At 35.2% G+C, this 20,887-nt stretch overlaps 1 long non-coding RNA gene across 1 annotated transcript in view; it reads left to right on the top strand.

Moving 5' to 3' along the window:
• The first annotated feature begins 414 nt into the window (after positions 1–414).
• Positions 415–20,887, top strand: part of LINC01492 (long intergenic non-protein coding RNA 1492) — a 184,506-nt gene continuing 164,033 nt past the window's right edge. Inside the window, exons 1-3 of the long non-coding RNA NR_121578.1 lie at positions 415–457; positions 5,262–5,434; positions 10,167–10,306. This is a non-coding gene — a long non-coding RNA (long intergenic non-protein coding RNA 1492). The remainder of the gene's footprint in view (positions 458–5,261; positions 5,435–10,166; positions 10,307–20,887) is intronic.

Raw genomic sequence — 20,887 nt, 5'->3', positions numbered from 1 at the left:
TTTCAGTTGATGTTGTTCTATAGTCTGCTGTTGGTTCCTTGCATATGAGTTATCTTTTTCTCTGTCTAGAGTTAAGACAATTTTTTTTCCTAAAATCCCTCCTACATTTTGTTTACAAAATAACTCTAACTGGATTTATTTTTAATTATAAGGCTCTGAGTACAATGTGTTCTCTTTATCTGTTGATTCATGCCTACCATCACGTTGTAAGCAAAGGTGTGACTGTTATACTGTCCATTTAACTGAACTTTTAATAGTATGAAATGCCTCCTTTATCTCTATGGCAGAGTCTACTGTGCCTGATACTATTACAGCCACACAAAGTTTCTTTTGGTTGATGTTTGTGTGATGTCATAGATGGAATTTTGCTACCCTCCGTAATACCACAATGACCTTCACCCCATAGTGTCTAGTATAGAGCTATGTTACATTGAATGGCAAAAGTGACTTTGTAGAGGTAAGTTGTTTAAAAATTTGCTTTATATACAGATAAGGAAGATGTGCTGAAAAGATACAACTACATGGCACTGTAGACTTATTTATTCTGTCTTCTGGGAATATAGCAGACAGTTGGCTTAGCAACTCTGAGTGGTGGGCTCAACAGAAGAACAAGCTGATAGAAGTCCTTGGGCTCTGAGGCTCCATTCTAATCAAAGTACTTCTCCAACCAGAGGACTTCCATTGATCAATAGCCACTCAGATGTTCTGTGTTTGCCATGAGTATCGGACTTCAGTCTTCTGGAAAGATGGCTGTGGTGCCTAAACACATCTGTGCCTGGCCTCACCCGCGGGTTAGTAAAGATTTGGGGGTTGCATGTGTTCTTCTATTTGGGACGAGGCCTATCTAAGAGGCCTCTATCTCCTCTCAAACATCTTTTTTATGTCTGTGCTATGTAACATTTCTGATAAGTGTCTGTGACTCCTCTGCCTCACAGCTATTCACTTTCTCTCTTTATAAAGAGGAGCCCTAATTATATTGTTTGGCTTTCTTTACACTTACGTTAAAGATTTTGTTTGAACAGAGGATTCTCTGGTTTTAAGATATTGAAAAAAAAAAGAACAGTTTATTAGACAAGCAAGACCAAATACAGTGGCTCATTTCTGTAATCCCAGAACTTTGGGAGGCCAAGATAATAGGATTGCTTGAGGCCAGGAGTGGAAGACCAGTCTGGGCCACAAAGCAAGATCCCTGTTTCTACTAAAAATTTAAAAATTAACCAGGCATGGTGGTGGCATGTGCCTGTAGCTACTCGGAGGAATCTCTTGGACCCAGGAGTTTGAGGCTGTAGTGAGCTGTGATCACGCCACTGCACTCCAGCCTGGGTGAAAGAGGAAGAGCCTTTCTCTTATTAAAAAAAAAAAAAAAAAGAAAGAAAGAAAGAAAGAAAAGAAAAGAAGGAAGGGAAGGAAGGGAGGGGAAGGGGAAGGGGAAGGAGAAAGGGAAGTGGAAGGAAAGGAAAGGAAAAAGACACCTGTTTGGTTTGGGGGAGAATGAGTTAGAAAACAAAATTTTAAAAAAGTAAAATAATGACACTACCACCATCTCCACCAAAAACACTAAAAAAGGTTGTGGGAAAATGGATGCAATAGTCCTTTAAAATAAATACATCAAAAGTAGTGACCTCAGGCTACATATTATTATATCATCTTTAATAAAATTTGAGGAAAATATTAAGCACTATTTAAGTGTTTGTAAAATAAAAATTAATAAGTGCATGAGATACCCTAAAGCTTTCGGACCTTTGACCTTCGAAAAGTTTACTCTCATCACTGTCCACTCATCAATTTAATTGTTTGTAATTTTAGTTTCACATTGTTTTTAGTTGCCAGAAAAATGGCAATACTTGTTTAAGTTATTGACCAATAGAATCCATGATATTTTAATATATCAACACATTTATCAAATTCTTTTTTTGACATTGCTTCTTATATCCTCATTTTTGCTTGTGGGTTCATTGATTATTTTTTCCTGAACTATGTCTTTTAAGTATTATTTGAACCATAATCTATGATTATATTAGTCTCCTGAAAGTATTATTGATTCACTTACGCCGTTCAGCTAGAGAGTACAGCTGGGTATACAAGTAAGTAGACAGCTACTTTTTCTCAGTACTTTAAAAATAAATGTTCACGCTTTATGGTCTCTAGTGGGATTTCACTAATTTGTACATATTTTATTTGCTTTTTAAGCTTTACATTCAAGATGTTTTAATTGTAATGATTCATTTCAATTTTATTGTTTTTCAACATTTCTGATTTTTTAAATTACCCTATTTTTCATTGTACTTTATCTCCCTTCTTTTTATTATTATAGTAATTTAAGCCACACTTATTTATTTCAGTTTTTGTTTGTTTGTTTGTTTGTTTTGAGATGGCGCCTTGCTCTGGCACCCAGGCTAGAGTGCAGTGGTACAATCATAGTCACTGCAGCCTGGAGCTCCTGGGCTCAAGCAATCCTCTAGCCTCAGCCTCCCGGTGTATGCCACCACACCCAGCTAATTTCTTTATTTCCTTTATTTTTGAGTGAAGGGGCCTCACTGTGTTGCCCAGGCTGGTCTCAAACTCCTGGGCTCAAGTGTTTCTCTGGCCTCATTCTCCCAAAGTGCTGGGATTACAAGTGTGAGCCATTGTGCCTGGCCCAGATTTTCTTTTACCTCAATTTTGTTTTAGCTCTCTCATGTTGTATGTGTGTGTGTGTGTGTGTGTGTGTGTGTTTTCCATTGTATGAAATAAAATTTTATTCGGAAGCTCCTCTTTTGCACAGTTGCTTTCATCTCCCTCCATATGTTTCTACACAAGTGGGGAAAATATAGCTACAGAGTAATTTTTTTTTCATTGACTTCTGAGAGTGTTGGTTATCTCCAGTACAATTCATAAGCCAATTTTCTTCATCTAGGTCTCTTGACTCATCAGAAATATAAATTGAGATTCCATACCCATGAAGCCATTTTTTCACTGAAGGCATTTTTTTAAAATACATGAATTTCTGAATTATAAAGAGTTTTCCTGACACTTCCTAAGTCAGTAGGTCCTATAATATTCCTTTACAAAGGAGAAGCCAACCTTTTTTGTAAATGTCTACATTTTTTGTGAATGTCAGCCTTTTAAAAGTACTTTAGCAAAGGGTCTTTAGTTCTAACACCCTCCCTTACATAAGCCTAATTCCACCTTTCCTGTCTTCTAATGGGTATTATCTTCTAGTTCCTATTGTTATTATTTGATCCTTATGAGCACCATATAATTAGTTGATATATTTACCACTAACTTACATCTCTCTTCATTTATGGAAGTTGGAGGCATCCTTTTCTTTTTTATATTAATTCATTTGTGGGTTAGACATCTTTACCTTTAGTCTATGATTTCAATATATTTGTATTTAGAGTGAGGGTTGTAGGAGGAAAAAAATGGGAGGAACATCTGTAACATCTCAGTAGGTCCTGGGATAGGAAAGAATCTGTAAGTAATTTTCTGTATAATGTATGGTGAAGCTTTTAGAATCCCTGTGAAGAAGACAGAAAGACCAAGAAAAGTACCACTCAGTTTTGCAAAGGAAAACCAGGGATAATAATTAGAACGAGAAGGGGATGAGGAACTATGATGTGTAGGAGCTAAAGAACTTGTGTAATAATAAAATGTTAAATCTGTTTTGGTAGTGTTCTGTTTTTCTATACTATGTATGTATTTCCTCAGAAAATATTTCTTTCTTAGAATGGATTTAGGCTGTGTTATGCCTGTGAAGTCATATTTATTCTTCTGTAAAGGTGAGTGCTTTGTGTTATATTGTATTGTTTTTGAGCAATTGCAGAAGACTACAGAAACTCTGTTCAGGTCTTTTCGCTACCAGAATCAAGAGGAAAGATTGATGAAAGTATCTGGAGTGGACTTAATAAGGATTGTCTTGACTGAGCAGATATTGGTATTATATAAGCTCTTGAGAAACAGGAAATATTTCTGGAGCTTCTCGCTCTTTAACTTGGAAAGAGTTTCAAATAGAAACTATCAATTTACATTTTGTTTGATTGGTTGAGTTTTTTGTTTTGGTTTTGGTTCTGATTGTGAATAATCTCTTTCCTTGGATTTTTAAAACTACATGATAAATTTGGTTAATATAGAAATAAATATTCATTCTGTCAAATATTTTTGGGACAAGAAATATGACCTGGGAAGTTGGATAGTATTTGAGGGTGAGAAGGAAATTTATTTTCTTCCTGCTTCCTTATTCACCCTGAACTACAGTCTGAGCAGATCATGTGTGCTTTAGGGTACCCAAAGGTGAAACTGAATTTTGACACTGAAAGAGTGACAGGACACAAGAAACCCCTTAGATTGTTAGAAAGACGTCTAAGAAGGTCTCACTACTAAATAGTCCACAGAACATTAGTAAACCAGAAGCAGCATCACCTGGGAGATCATACCCTACCTCAGACCACAAAATCTTCATTTTTCATAAGATTCTACAATGATTTATAATGAACATTTAGGCTTGAGAACCCTGCTGTAAAAACCCAAACATGATGTGTCAGAGTTGTAGATGTTAATTTCTGTCAAATCCGTTTGCTAATCTTAACTATTTGCATAATCCATTTAATAATATCCTTTTATTATCTTAGAATCTTTAGGAGAGTGCTATTAAATTATCTTGGCCTAGTCTCATAAGGACAGAAGAAAATTAAGCTATGCATGTTCAACTGCTTTGGGTCAGAGTGACAAAACTGAGATAAATGTTATTAGAAACCACTATGGTAAGAAACAGGAGCTTTAATAGTCGGTGTTAACTGCCAAAACTGCAGGAGTTAATGAGATGCTGCATGGTCAGGACCCATAGCTATATAGAATAGAAAGCATCTTAAGATCAAAGGTAGTTGCACAGACAGAGATCTGCATTGACTTGATACTGTGCTGTATTAATCTTGATATCTTTGTTCCTTGCACACTGCCATAGTGCCTGTTGTTGGGACTGGATAAATGTTTGTTGAATTAAGCTGAAATATGGTGACTAAAAGCTCTTGACATGATATATTATTTCATATTTTATTCATTTTATTCTTTAGTGGAATTATATTAAATCTACATGTCTGAGTCTTTTACAAATTGATTTTTATTCAACTCTCTGAAGGTTTACACAATAAGCCTATGTTCTTATAATAAAGCAGCCCTAAAATATTACATTATTTATTATGATAGAACAAGCTCAATTGTCCAACATCTTATTTCTTCTACATGTTAACTCCACTTACGTGTTTAAAATATCTAACCACTAGGTGTCGTTTATCCGGATGCTGCATGATTAAGACCACCATACTCTTATCAAGCATACAGGTGTTAATGTCTATTTTAAAGAGGAGAGAACTCAAGAAGTTCTGTAGAAACTGCTTTCTTCATCATATCTCAAAGGATTTGCTGAGGATTTCAGAGGTGCCACGAGTTGAGAGAAGTGAGCCAAAAAAACTCATCTGAAGTGTTTGGACAGATGAAATCAATGGCTGCTGATTAAATGAGAGGCACACAGCAAGTACACTGTAAAATAATTAAATAGTAATTGAAAATACCTGCAGAAAGTTTGATTAGCATCTGAGGAACTAACAAAAGTAGCCAGATAATAACAAATGCATTTCCAAAGCCTGTTTAATTCTATCAATGTACCTTAGTAAATATGTAGTTAGTCTCATTAAACGAATTAATGTAAATGCATTAAACTTTTCACAGTAAAAGTAGTGTTTTGGAAAACCTTGGGTGTACCCGAAGTTATTTTCCTTGGGGTTCCATAGGAATGGGTTTAACCTATATTTTGGAAATGTTTTAATTACTGTATTCGACTCATTATGTCATATTTTGCAAAACTGATAAAGTTAAAATGACATTTTTATTACATGAATTCAAATTATAGACATAGAGATGTTTCAGGTAGCCAGGTTCTATAAAGAATATTCCAAAATATTGTCTTGAAGCCCAGTGTAATTGAAAATTATATCATTGAACTCTGTCAAAATAAAGGCACCAATCTGTATAAAATACAAAGTTAAGTATATAACTATGTATAAAAAAGAGTAAAAATGTTCTAGGCATGATATAAGAAAGTCAAAGATTTAAGAAGTAGCAGAGAATTTCAAATATAGTTGGACAAAGGCAGCAATCAGCTAATGATGGCACTTTTACATGCTCAGACAATGAGAATATTATTAAGACCTCAAATCCCAAAATAAACAAATTGTTTCCCACTTAATGAAATTACAGCCTGTGATATGGATTTTCAAGGATATGAGCAAGAAGACAGAACAAAATGAGCCAAGATCAAGATATATGTATCAGAGACCCGGGGAGAAAGGATGAAAATTACAATCTCAAGAAACAACATAAACATGACGAGTTAATGGGTGCAGCACACCAGCATGGCACATGTATACATATGTAACTAACCTGCACATTGTGCACATGTACCCTAAAACTTCAAGTATAATTAAAAAAAGAACATAAATAAAGCATAGCAACTATAATATAGAAGTTTCAGGTAGACAGTCTTAATCGATGATCATTTTAGGTAGACAGAAAGACCTGGAACTCTACTAGCAAGGACTCAATGGGATGAAAAAAGGAGGGCGCTTAAAGAGGCAGACATGAAGATTAAGGTCCACACATGAATTGGGATTGGGACTGGGGGATTAGTAGTCAGGATATCAGAATTTGGGCAACCATACATGGAGGTCAAAATTTGGGTTCTAAATATAAGTGGAACTGATTTAGTTGTTAGGTACGCTTTTGAAAACTGGCCATCTTTTCAGACATCTTCTGAAGAATGTACTGTCAAGCTTGGTGTGTTCTATGAAGCTCTGGAGTCAATTTTGGCTTGGTCATCTTTATCCGTGTGTCCCTGGGAATGTTACTTAATTTCTCTGTGTGTGTGTGGTTTTTTTGTTTGTTTGTTTTTATGTTTTTGTGGTTTTTTTTTTTTTTTTTTTTTTGGTTTTTGGTACACCTCCAAAGTCAGAAAAATAATGTCTCACTCAAAATTATCTCAAAAGGGTTACATGTGATAATATAGTACCTTGTGAATGTTATCATTATTATGATGCTTTAAAGTGTTTAATGTAAAACACTGGCAAACGCTCTTTATGAAGAAAATTCTGGCATCAATTTCCCCAGAGAAAAAGCCTACTTAGAAAAATGTAAGATAAGCATAGGGAATGAGGGGAAGTGATACCAAGTAGTGATGTTTAGGATGGCTTTCTTCTGAGTCAAATAAAACCATCATAGAATGATCAGAATGATGTGATGGAAGCAAAAACCAATAGGAACAGCCTAATTCTTACTAGAGTAATAGAGTAAGCAAATTATTTAAAGTTTTCTTATGTGAGAAATTGTGAAGATTCCAGCCTGTAAAGTAATAGTATAAGCAAAAGCAAAAAAAGAGGAGAACTATTAATAAACCAGTAAACCAGGCTCAATGTAGTATATGGTAATGGAGATCCTAAAGGTCATGTTGGCTCCATGTGAAAATAGGAGTTAAGAAAAACTTGGTAGTGGAAATTTAGGAAGATATAACACAACACAAAAATTCTTTCACAAGGAAAGAATATTGACACGTCCATATTAAAATTTCTGGCTTATTAAGCACTATCAATCTTAGTTAAGAACATGAATTTCCTCTGTTAAAATTTGATTCCTTTTATGCAGCCTCCATGGAGACATATCCTTTTCTTTTTAATGCAGAGAGAAGTTCTTTTATTTTATCAATCTACTTTTTGATTCCTTCATGATTTATTTGTAGTAATGCATAGATTCCATAATGATGTAACTATAAGTATTGCTTGATTTACTCACCTAGGTTAACTTATTGTCTTATTTATTTAAGCTACAAATATTTCTAGGGTAGAAAAAAGCCTGTAAGAAACGAGTCTAGCAGGAAGAGTGTTCATTATTACCTAATTTACGACAAAATTAATTGTTAATGCTGATCAAAATATCTCTTGTCTTCACAGAAAACATTGGAAGTAAAAAACGTATATAAAATATGTGTTTCCAGCTAGTCGTATTACAATGTTCTTTTGAACCCTTGTAATGAAGACTTATGGGATCAAATTTTCTGTGTTTAACCTCCAATGCCAACATATAGTAGCTATGTGACCTTAAATACTCTATTTATGGCTCTGTTTCCCAATATGTAAATTTGGTATCTACTTCAAATGATTATTATGAGGATTAAATGACATATGTGAACAGATTCAAAGAGTCCATGGCACAAAATAAGTACACAACAAATGTTGAATATCATTATGATTTTAGTAATCAAAATGACAATTTTTATTTCCTTGAGACAAGGTGTGGCTCTATTGCCCAGGCTAGAGTGCAGTGGCCTGATCTCTGCTCATTGCAACCTCTGTCTCCCTGGCTCTCGCCATTCTTTCACCTCAGCCTCCAGAGTAGCTGGAACCACAAGTGCACACCACAACACCTAGCTGATTTTTGTGTTTTTTGTAGAGACAGGGTTTCGCCATGGTGCCCAGGCCGGTCTCAAACTCGTGAGCTCAAGCAGTCTTCCTTCCTTGGCCTCCCAAAGTGCTGAGATTACAGGCGTGAGTGACCACACCCAGACTAAAATTGTTTTTTGAATGGCATTAAATATTTTTCAAAATTAGCTCATCGCATTGTAATATAATTTGAAGAGCCATAGCATATTGAATCTTAACTCAATTTCGTGGCTTACTAAGATTCCCCTAAATTTTATTTAAAGCATTATACCTTATCATTGTTGGTGCCATATTACTGAGTAGCTATAAAATGCTTCTCATTTTCATATTCCACATTCCTCCATTTACAAATAATGAAAGATCATTTCACATTTGAAGCAAAAGCAAAACAAAGCAAAATTTAGATCATGTTTAGTAATTTATCTCAGTTAAAAATTGCTGTGACTGTGCAGCTAGAGCCTCTCAATATTTTCAATGCTCTAGAACTCCAGTTAGGCAATTTAAAATGAACAACAGTAGCTAGAAATACAATTAAGCAAAACTGTTCTGCTTATAGTCAGTTACAATCTCTCTTTCTTTCTTTCTCTCTGTTATACACAAAGACATTTCATGCGTATCTTTTTCTTCCCACTTCTAAATATCATCAGGGGAAATAAGTACTGAAATAATTAAGCATTTTTGTCGAGTGATCTTTTAATTCATTATTTTCTTCCCAGAACTCTAGTTTGTTGGCATATATAGAGCTGTTCATTGACTAATGAATTATTTCCCCCAGGTATCTGTGTGTGTTCACGTATAAGTGGCAGTACATACCATTTTTCCCTTCTTTTTGTACATCACTTTGAATATTTTGTGAACTGTATAGTGTGAAGTACAAAAGAAAAATCAATTAGCATATGTAGCAATATTCCTTAAGTGCCACATTACAGTTAAACTTCATTAAATTCTGACAAGGCTATAAATTTAATTATATTTAAAGGTAAATTTCTCTCTATGTATTAAAAGGGGAATACATAACACAAGTGGTTTTTATTGTTCTCATTGCTATTTTGGTTTTTTTCTAATTAATAAGCTTTAGTTTTTTAGAGAATTTTTAGGTTCACAGCAAAATTAAATGGAAAGAACAAAGTTCCTATAGACCCCCTGTCACCCACACATGTGCAACCTTTCCCACTATTGACATCCTGCACCACAGTCATGCATTTGTCACAATGGATGAACCTACAATGTCACCTCATTATCACCCAGAGTCCATAGTTTACATAAGGGTTTGGTTTTGGTGTTGTACATCCTATGGGTTTTGACAAATTTTTAATAACATCTATCTACCAGTGGAGTGTTTTTGTTTTGATTCATGGAAAATAACTTTCAGGCTGGCATGGGGGCTCATGCCTGTAATCCCAGCACTGTGGGAGGCCAAGACGAGCTGATCACTTGAGTTCAGGAGTTAGAGACCAGCCTCGGCAACATAGCAAAACCCCATCTCCACCAAAAATACAAAAAATTAGTCTGATATGGTGGCACAAGCCTGTAGTCCCAGGTACTTGGGAGGCTGAGGTGAGTCTGGGAGGTGGAGGCTGCAGTAAGCCCAGATCGTGCCACTGCACTCTGGCCTGGGTGACAGAGACCCTGTCTCAATAATAAAGAAAAAAAAAACAGAACTTTCAAAGTTTACACCTATATATTTTTCCATACCCTCAGGACTTCGGACATTTCACTTAATGCTGAAAATTCACTCTACTGCCACTACTCAGGACTTCTGATGGGCATGAAAATCCAAGCCTGCTTTATGATATTAACCTCTGAATTTCATAAACCGCTTAAAACTTTAGAATGTCCAGGTAATTAATTATTATCAGGTAAAAATGTCACAATTTAGTGTCTTTAAGCAATGCTGATTTATCATTTCCAAGATTCCGTGAGCTGGACAGGTGGGTCTTCTGTTGACTTATCTTGAGTTCATTCATTGGCTGAATTAGGCTGCAGAGTTGTCTGGACTGGAAGGTCAAAAATGACCTTGCTTGCCAGGGGCAGTGGCATATGCTTCTAATCTAATCTACTTGGGAGGCTGAAGCAGAGGATTCCTTGAGCCCAGGAGTTCAAGACCAGCCTGGGCAACATAGGACCCCCTCAAAATAAAATAAAATAAAGAAAGAAAAGTTACATTAAAAAAAATGACCTCACTCAAAAATCTGGCAGTGTACCTGGCTGTCATCTAGGACCACTCAGTTATCTTCCACATGGCCATTCATACTTCATTAGGCTCCATCAGTTCCCTTACACAGCATTCTGACTGTCGCATCCAAAAGAGCAAAGGCAAAAACTGAAAGATGTCTTGAGACTTAAGGTCTAGAACTCTCACAACATCACTTCTGCTAGATTCTATTAGTTATGAAAAGTGTTTGGACCAGTCAAATTTAAGAGGTCGGGAAACAGACTTCTAAAGTTAATGAAAAGAACTGCAAAGTACTTGTGGCCATTTAAATCTACCTCTATGCCTTGCTCTTGAAGTTAAAATGTCTTTAGAATGATCTTAGGGAATAATTTTGTGAAAAAAGGGCCAAAATTTTTAATGAATTTGTTTAGAAGAAATCACACATTGTCAAGTCTGTAAACCTCTTGCTGATTGTAAACATTTTTTTTTTTTTTTTTTGAGACAGAGTCTCTGTCACCCAGGCTGGTGTGCAGTGGCACAATCTCATTTCACTACAACCTCTGCCTCCCAGGTTCAAGTGATTCTCCTACCTCAGCCTCCCGAGTAGCTGGGATTACAGGAATGCACCACCACACCCAGCTAATTTTTGTATTTTTAGTAGAGACAGGGTTTTGCCATGTTGGCCAGGCTGGTCTTGAATTCCTGACCTAAGGTGATCCGAACTCCTTAGCCTCCCAAAGCACTGGGATTACAGGCGTGAGCCACCAGGACCAGCTTGTAAACTACTTATTCCATGATTCCTGCCTTCTTCACATTTCTATTCCTTCTGTTTAATATAGTTTTTGAGACAGAGTACGCTTTGAAAAGCACACTTTCAAATAACTGATGTTTTATAAATAACTGATTGAAACATTTATTTAAAATTATTTTTTTAAAAGTCATACAACCTCTAAATACAAAGTGTTGAAGCTTATCTACTCTTCTCAGGCCATAGAAACTCCAATAGTCTTACAGTTCTAGTTAAACCCCAAAAATTAGTAAGTAAAAGTAGCAACTGAATTCAAAAGGATTTCATAAATTCAATAAAATATATTTTAGATGTTTAATGAGTTACTTCAAATAAGAAGCTTTCAATTTAGTTGTCTTTCTCAGGTGGACAAAAATGATTGTCTACATTGGGGAACATCACAGAAGATGATATTTGAAATAAAACGTTCAGCACCCTCATTTAATGTTAAGATGTCACTACAAATGACTTAAAGTGTGTTATCAGTATGACCTAAAACCCTGCATCTTTTTGCAAAATTAATATTTATTCATATTGACTAGGCACGGTGGCTCATGCCTGTACTCCCAGCACTTTGGGAGGCTGAAGTGGGAGGATCACTTGAGGTCAGGAGTTCAAGACCAGCCTGACCAACATGGTGAAACCCTGTCTCTACCAAAAATACAAAAATTAGCCGAGTGTGGTGGTGGGCGCTTGTAATCCCAGCTACTCAAGAGGCTGAGGCAAGAGAATCACTTTAACCTGGGAGGCAGAGTTTGCAGTGAGCTGAGATGGCGCCACTGCACTCCACCCTGGAAGACAGAGTGAGATTCCATCTCAAAAAAAAAAAAAAAACCATATATATAATTCATATTAATATACACAATAGCAGATGATACTTTTTACTTTGTTTTTCTTAAATTATTAATGAATATGTTGGTAGTTACGTAGAGAAATTCCTAACTTTAAAGCTGTTAACAACTTTAAAAGTACAATTAATAAGAATGCAAGATCAGATAGTTGTAGATATGCGGCATTATTTCTGAGGGCTCTGTTCTGTTCCATTGGTCTATATCTCTGTTTTGGTACCAGTACCATGCAGTTTTGTTTACTGTAGCCTTGTAATACAGTTTGAAGTCAGGTAGCATGATGCCTCCAGCTTTGTTCTTTTGGCTTAGGATTGACTTGGCAATGCAGGCTTTTTTTTGGTTCCATATGAACTTTAAAGTAGTTTTATCCAATTCTGTGAAGAAAGTCATTGGTAACTTGATGGTGCTGGGAAAACTGGCTAGCCATATGTAGAAAGCTGAAACTGGATCCCTTCCTTACACCTTATACAAAAATTAATTCAAGATGGGTTAAAGACTTACATGTTAGACCTAAAACCATAAAAACCCTAGAAGAAAACCTAGGCAATACCATTCAGGTCATAGGCATGGGCAAGGACTTCATGTCTAAAACACCAAAAACAATGGCAACAAAAGCCAAAATTGACAAATGGGATCTAATTAAACTAAAGAGCTTCTGCACAGCAAAAGAAACCACCATCAGAGTGAACAGGCAACCTACAGAATGGGAGAAAATTTTTGCAACCTACTCATCTGACAAAGGGCTAATATCCAGAATCTACAGTGAACTCAAACAAATTTACAAGAAAAAAACAAATAACCCCATCAAAAAGTGGGCAAAGGATATGAACAGACACTTCTCAAAAGAAGATATTTATGCAGCCAAAAAACACATGAAAAAATGCTCATCATCACTGACCATCAGAGAAATGCAAATCAAAACCACAATGAGATACCATCTCACACCAGTTAGAATGGCGATCATTAAAAAGTCAGGAAACAACAGGTGCTGGAGAGGATGTGGAGAAATAGGAACACTTTTACACTGTTGGTGGGATGGTAAACTAGTTCAACCATTGTGGAAGTCAGTGTGGCAATTCCTCAGGGATCTAGAACTAGAAATACCATTTGAACCAGCCATCCTATTAATGGGTGTATAACCAAAGGACTATAAATCATGTTGCTATAAAGACACATGCACACGTATGTTTATTGTGGCACTATTCACAATAGCAAAGACTTGGAACCAACTCAAATGTCCAACAACGATAGACTGGATTAAGGAAATGTGGCACATATACACCATGGAATACTATGCAGCCATAAAAAATGATGAGTTCATGTCCTTTTTAGGGACATGGATGAAGCTGGAAACCATCATTCTCAGCAAACTATCGCAAGGACAAAAAACCAAACACTGCATGTTCTCACTCATAGGTGGGAATTGAACAATGAGAACACATGGACACAGGAAGGGGAACATCACACTCCGGGGACTGCTGTGGGGTGGAGGGAGGGGGGAGGGATAGAGTTAGGAGATATACCTAATGCTAAATGACGAGTTAATGGATGCAGCACACCAACATGGCGCGTGTATACATATGTAATAACCTGCACGTTGTGCACATGTACCCTAAAACTTAAAGTATAATAATAATAAAAAAAAAGAAAAAAAGAAAGACTGCAAGAGTGAGACTATGGTTTGGAATCTCAGCCAAACGTTTAAAGTTTGTATGATTTAGGGCAGTTCTATTACACTGTTAAATTCAGTCTGCTCATCTGGAAAACTGGAATGAGAATGGTTACCACAACATCAAGTAGGCTCAAGGAATAAACCAAGATAACTGATGTAAAGATCTAATTGGCATGACTGGAACATCAGTAATTGATACTTTATTTTTGTTGTTGTTAATGTTATATTTGTATTATTAACTCAATGTAGAGGCACTCGGTAAATTCTGTTATTCCTAAAGTGTTGACAAGATAAAGGAAACTCTAAAACAAAACATTTTAGAAGTATGTATTTTAGTTTTTTCTTTTATATCCTACCTGAAAGACAATTCAATAATTATAGTGCTAAGATAATTATGTAGATTAATCAGTAGTATTTGGCAGGCAGTGCATTTCTGAATGATAACAGCATGGCTCAGGTGGTCTTAAAGCATACCATGCTGAAGGCTATCAATTTTACCACCTGAGAAGTGTTCTAATTAACCAAAAATGCAGAACCTAAAGTGGCTGCTCCATTACTGCCAATGAGACTAACAGTTGGGTTCTTAGATTTATTAGCCTGCAAATTGGTGACTCTCAATTCCGAAGCACCAACTGTGCCTACTTTTTACAAATCTTTTTTTTTCCAATATTTATTTGAAATGTAAGGTCAGTTAATTATAAAAGAAAATATATTAAGTGGTAATAGAAATGCTCGGGCACCAGAATCAGACTTATCCTTCCTGAAAATCCACTGTATTTTTGCTTAGTGACCTTGGAAGAGTTAGTTAAAGCATGTTTCCCTACCTATAAATTGGATAAGGATAATTTCTTTATATATTGTAGTGACAATTAGTAAAGATACACTTAATGTGCCTAGAATAGTTTTTACACATGATTATCAAGAAATTTTTTCTACTTTGTTTCTCATCCTTTATGATATACAGAGGCATTTAGTCAAGTGAAGGGTCCCATGTTAGAGGACTGCATATGTTATTTCTATTTTATTAATTTAATTAGAGAATATGATTAGCCAATCTGCAACAGTACAGTGTTATTTCTTCTGTGTAAAGTATAACTATATTTTCAAATTCCCATTTTTCTCTCAACTGTATCAACAGGTTTATGGCATTCTATTGAGGGCTAAAGAATTTATAGTGTTTAGCAGACAGGCCCTTGACTTTCATAATGAAACTTATATTTTACTGAGCAGACAAGATGAACAAATATTTCAAACTTCATATTGCATCTAAAATGTTTACAGTGATACAGTGATACCTTTCCTTCATTGTTGTGTTCAATGATCCATACTATGAAACTATTTTATAGAAAAGTATGCTTTAAAATATTTCCAAGTCTGTAACTAAATCCTATCCTTTGAATGGAAAGTAATGTTCATCTATTTCTATGCTGTATTATTTGGAATAATGAATTCGGTTTTATGAAGTGATGCAAGTGTACTTGATGATCAGGAAAACCTGGAAATTATAGTATTGAGTATAATCTTCAGAGATAAGTAAAATGTGTGGACCTATGTTATGTACACGGTTACCACAGTTGTCATATAATACAATCAGGTTCTATAAAAAGACCAATAGCTCTATTGGAAAACAAAGTGTAATGTTCATTTGTTTTGATTTCATGATAGGTTTTTCATGTTGTTCTTGTTATTTTTAAAGTGAATCTGTTAAAACGCCACTCCCAAGATGGACTGGTATTGTAGAAATACAAAATGCATGCTTATTCTAGATTCCATTGTGTTATGTGATATAATTACTACTGGCTACATGTGGCCATTGGAGCACTAATATGTGGCTCGAGGGTGAGGAGTGCTGTTAGTTTAAAACACACATTCGATTTCAAATACTGAACATGAAAAAGAAGACTAAAATATCTCAAAAATAATTTTCTGTAGTGATTAATTATTGATCCTATATATTTTGGGTCAAGCAAATTAAGTTATTAAAATGGGTTTCACCTGTTTCTACTTACATTTTTAGAAAAATTAAATTTTCTCTACATTTCTAGAAAATTAAAATTACATATTTGCCTCATGTTACATTCCACTTGCAAATATATATATATATTCTTATTCCTTATTTGCAAAGTTTGCACTCTGTGCATATCCCACAGGGACTGAAGCCTGAGGTAGGTGGCTAGTGAAAAATCTGACATTGTAATTCTATGTTATTGTCTCACAATTTCTTTCCATTTTAGCAGTTTGATTTGTGACACCTATAGGATAGCAAATGAAAAACTAAATCTTTAAAGTCTGCAACATCTAGGGATAAAGCATACATTTTATGTATATAATCAATGCTACAGTTCACATGCAGTTGTCTGAATAGAATATTTAAATTACTATCAGAAATGACCTAAGGATGTCTTTCTTGACTGAGTGAATTATTGTAGCACATAAAAAGGACAAGCCTGACATCCATCCTGATGAACTGTATCAAACACTTGTAGATTAACACGTAAAATATCTAAACAGGCTCTGAGGAATGTACAGAAAACGAAAGAATGCTGAAATTCAGAAATCACCAATAAAATATACCCTAAAAAGGGAAGATCCTACTGAGTCAAATCATTGGAAGTGGATCGGACATAACTGCAAATCTGGGAGAAGACTCCAAAAGCATTGTCAGCATTGGAAATTGCTGTGGCACCAACCCTTTGTTTATGAAATTGACTTAAAAAATACAACCCCCCACACAAAACACATACACACACCCACACAGACCCACCCTCTGGACACACACACAAACACAAAACTAGACATTCATTCTGCCTTTTCAGTATGATATATATTCCAAGGTCACAATAAATTGAAAAGGGAAAGAATATAAAATTCCAATTTATAAATTCAGATGAAATGACAGAATAAGAATAATAACCATGGTTGGCTGTAAAAATAATCACAATTATCCAACATGTTCCTTTGTGATTATACTTTACAGACTTTCACATCAACAAGTGGAGTTTAATTTTCCACTCTGAATTCAATCTAGAACTCATGTGGGTTTGCGTACTTTTCTGTTCTGGGTTTGTGTACTCTAACACCAACATATGAACAAAGCCCTACAGTTTGAAGAAAGATCTCTTCCTAGAGCAGCCAGCTCTAGCCAGTCTGGCAGCTGAGCTCAAATACCTGAGCAAGCTCAGCTGTGATCAGTTTTGCCTATCTCTGTAGAACCATACAGCTGACCAAAGGCTCATGAACAATTACGAACGGTTATTGTATTAAGCCACTTGGTTTCGGGATAACTTGTTAAGCAGCAATAGATGACTAATTTAATAACCATTGTGAAACCTCCAATGAGATAATGTATCTAGGAAGTAATCAAATTATTCCGAACTCATGGATATATAATGAAAATGATGCGAGAAATAACTTTTGGGGTATCGGTAGGAATCGTGGGTCTATGTACTTAAATTCAACCATAGATAGTAATGGCTTAAAATATAAATTGGAGAGCTTGGCAGTTGCTAAACAATACTAAACAAATTGCAACTCACATGCGCAAGCATTACTGTTCAGCAGCAAAAATGAACAAACTACTAATACATGTAACAAGATGGAAGCATGTCAGAAGCATTATACTCAGTAAAAGAAACCAGACACAAAAGACTGTGTACTGTATTGTACATAAACTACATTCTGTAGAAGGCAAAACTATAGGGACATAAATCAGATCAATAGTTGCCAGATTCTGAAGGAAAGAAGAGATGGTTAACTTCAAAAGAGTGAAAGAACATGTTATGTCAACTGAAATGTTCCATGCCTTGTTTTTTGGCACTGGATGCTTGAAAAATATTCAGTTGCTAAATATATCAAAATATAGATTTAAGTAAATCTGATCTTAAACAACTAAACAATACAATATTGAAAGTTTCTTGCAGATTGTAATAAAATCATACAGACAAAAGAATAAGCACAAAATTTACCAAAATACCTACCTATGTAAAAGACAAAAGGAGAATGGAATTAGGGGAAATTGTGAATGGAAAGTTATTGGTTAACCTGGGTTTTTTAAGCTGGGTTGTTAGAAAATTATTTTGTTATCATTTTTATTATTCAAATTGTATGTCTTACATATAATAATAATTATGAATTATAATGCATGGAAATACAAAAAAAAGACAATGTCTGGGGTGGAGGTAAAACAGAAAAATATAGAGCTATAAAACCATACTAAGCTAAAATTCAGTAAGCCATGAGATAAACAAGATGGTCCAAAAAGTTAAAGTAAAATAGTAATAACAGTACACACCAACAAAAGTAATTTAAAAAAATAAATACTAAGTATTGACAATGATGAATCCCTCATCATTGGTGATATTGAACATTTCTTCATATACCTGTTGGTCATTTGTATGCGTTCATTAGAGAAATGTCTATTCAAGTCCTTAGCTCATTTAAAAAATCCGTTTTTGTTTTTTTTTGCCACTGAATTGTAGGAGTTTTCTGCACATTTTGGGTAGCTCCTTAGCAGATATCTGAGATATATGATTTGCAAATATTTTCTCCCATTCTGTAGGTTGCATTTATACTCTGTGGATTGCTTACTTCTCTGTGCAGGAACTTTTCAGTTTGACATGTTCCCATTTGTCTATTTTAGCTTTTGTGGCCTGTGCTTTTGATTTCATATCCAGGAAATCATTGCCAAGAACAAGGTTATGATGTTTTCCCCTTACATTTTCTTCCAGAATTTTTATAGTTTTAGATTTTAAATTTAAATCTTCAAGCCATTTTGAGTTGATTTTGTATATTATCTAAGATTAGGGTCCAGGTACATTTGTATGCATGTGGTTTTCCCAGCATCATTTGTAAAACAGACTCTCCTTTCCCTAATGTGTATTCTCAGAACCCTTGTCAAAGATCAGTTGAATATATATGCATGGGTTTATCTGTGAGCTCTCTATTCTGTTGCAATGTTCTATATGTCTGTATTTAGGCCAGAACCATACTGCTTTGATTTTGATCGCTTTGTAATATGTTTTGAAGTCAGAAAGTGTGATGCCTCCAGTTTTGTTCCTCTTGTTTTGGCTCTTTGGGTTTTTTAATGGTTTCACAGGAATTTTAAAATTGTTTTTTTTCTGTTTAGAATTATATTTTCTGTACAAAAAGTATTTTCTATTTGAATGCTGAAAAACTTTTCTATTTGAATTGCCAAAATCTATTGGGATTTTGACAGGGATTGCACTGAATCTGTAGATTGCTTTGAGTAGTATAGACATTTTAACAGTATTAGGTAATCCAATCCATTAATTTGAGATTTATTGTCATTTTTTTAGGTCTTAAATTTTCTTTCAGCAGTTTTCTAGTTTTCAGTGTAAATCTTTTACTTAATTAGTTAAGTGCATTCCTAAGTATATCCTTTTTTTTTTTGATGACATAGTAAATGGAATTGTTTTCTAATTTCCCTTATAGATGGATGATTATTAGTATATAGAAATTCATCTAGCTTTTGGATGTTGATGATTTTAAGCTGAAACTGTGCTGAGTTTATTAGTCTAATGTGTGTGTTGTAATTGATAAAGATTTTTATATATAAGATCATATTATCTGAAAACAGAGATAATTCTACTTCTTCCTTTCCCTTTCCATTTGAATGCCTTTCATTCCCTTTTCTTGCCTAATTGCTCTGGGTAGGATTTCAGTACTGTGCTGAATAGTGCTCTGAGACAGGCAAGACAGAAATCCATTCTTCAGTCAGCCCTTCAGAAAGCTAAAATACTGAATACACATTCTATGCTTCCCTTTTCTTCTTGAGGGTAAAACTGCCAAGTGTTATCAGCCTCTTTCTATTGTATTTTGGGTCCTCTGGAGTAGCATCAAGACACCCAGATCTCTTTTTGTTCTCAGCAGCCTCCAGGCAACTAGAGTATGCCAGGCCCTATACATGGCCCAAGTCAGGCAACACAGAAACAAGTCCCTTAGGCAGCCTCCCCAAAAGCTATACATTTTGACGCACGCTCCAACTATTTCTCTCCCTAGGGTAAAGCCAGGAGTTGGGGATTTTTCTCCAACTCACTTCATTCTGAATCAGGGAGAGAAGCAATGGTTAGTAAATATTTAGTAACTTAAACCATTGCTTTTGTTCTCAGTGATCCCAAATATGGTACAATTTTTTGTCAATGCTTAGATTCAGTCAAGACAGAAAACAGTGCTTTGAGAGTCCCACAAAATCCTAAACATAGACATATTCTAGTCTTCTCCTTCCCTCTCTATGGAGAAGTTTGGAGGTGGGAAGTGTGATATCGATGACATCATACTGTGGTAGGGGGAGGGACTCTGGCAAATGAGAGCCATGAGTTTTCCATGAGTTTACCATGAGAGCCATGGTACAGCTAGTTTTGCATAAGCCTAGTGGTACAGGAACCTCTCAACAGGTTTCAAGATTTCTCACAAAGGAAGTTGCTCCATGTATCATTTAATCAGTGTTGCCATGGGAAAATGAGGTCTAGGGCTTCCTATTCCATCACCTTGCTGACATCACCCCTGGAACTCTGACATGGTATTATTAGGAATTTAGATAGGTAATGGCTCACCTTTTAAAACAAACAAACACACTTGTTAATGGTTAACACTTGTGAAATCTGTGATCCAGCAATTCCATTCTCAGACATAGACACAAAATAAATGCGTACATATGTGTAAAATGTTGACTGTAGGAACATCATTCACAAGTGTCTTAGAGTTAAAATAGTCCATAAACAACAGAATGTATACATAAGCTCTGGAATTGTCAGAAAATATAATTATATGTACTGCTTTGCACTGTAAAACTGATCTATCTTACAGACATAATACGGAATGAAGATAAGCCTGATATTGTATGAATCCATTAGCATAAAATAGAAGTATAGGAGAAGTGAGTTTTTGGTAATAGAAACTGGAACATTCGTTTCTTTGGAAATATGATATTGACTAGAAGAG

This window comes from Homo sapiens, chromosome 9 (genome assembly GCF_000001405.40).
Source record: "Homo sapiens chromosome 9, GRCh38.p14 Primary Assembly".
Lineage (NCBI taxonomy): Eukaryota > Metazoa > Chordata > Mammalia > Primates > Hominidae > Homo > Homo sapiens.
This window is presented reverse-complemented; position numbering and strand designations above follow the sequence as displayed.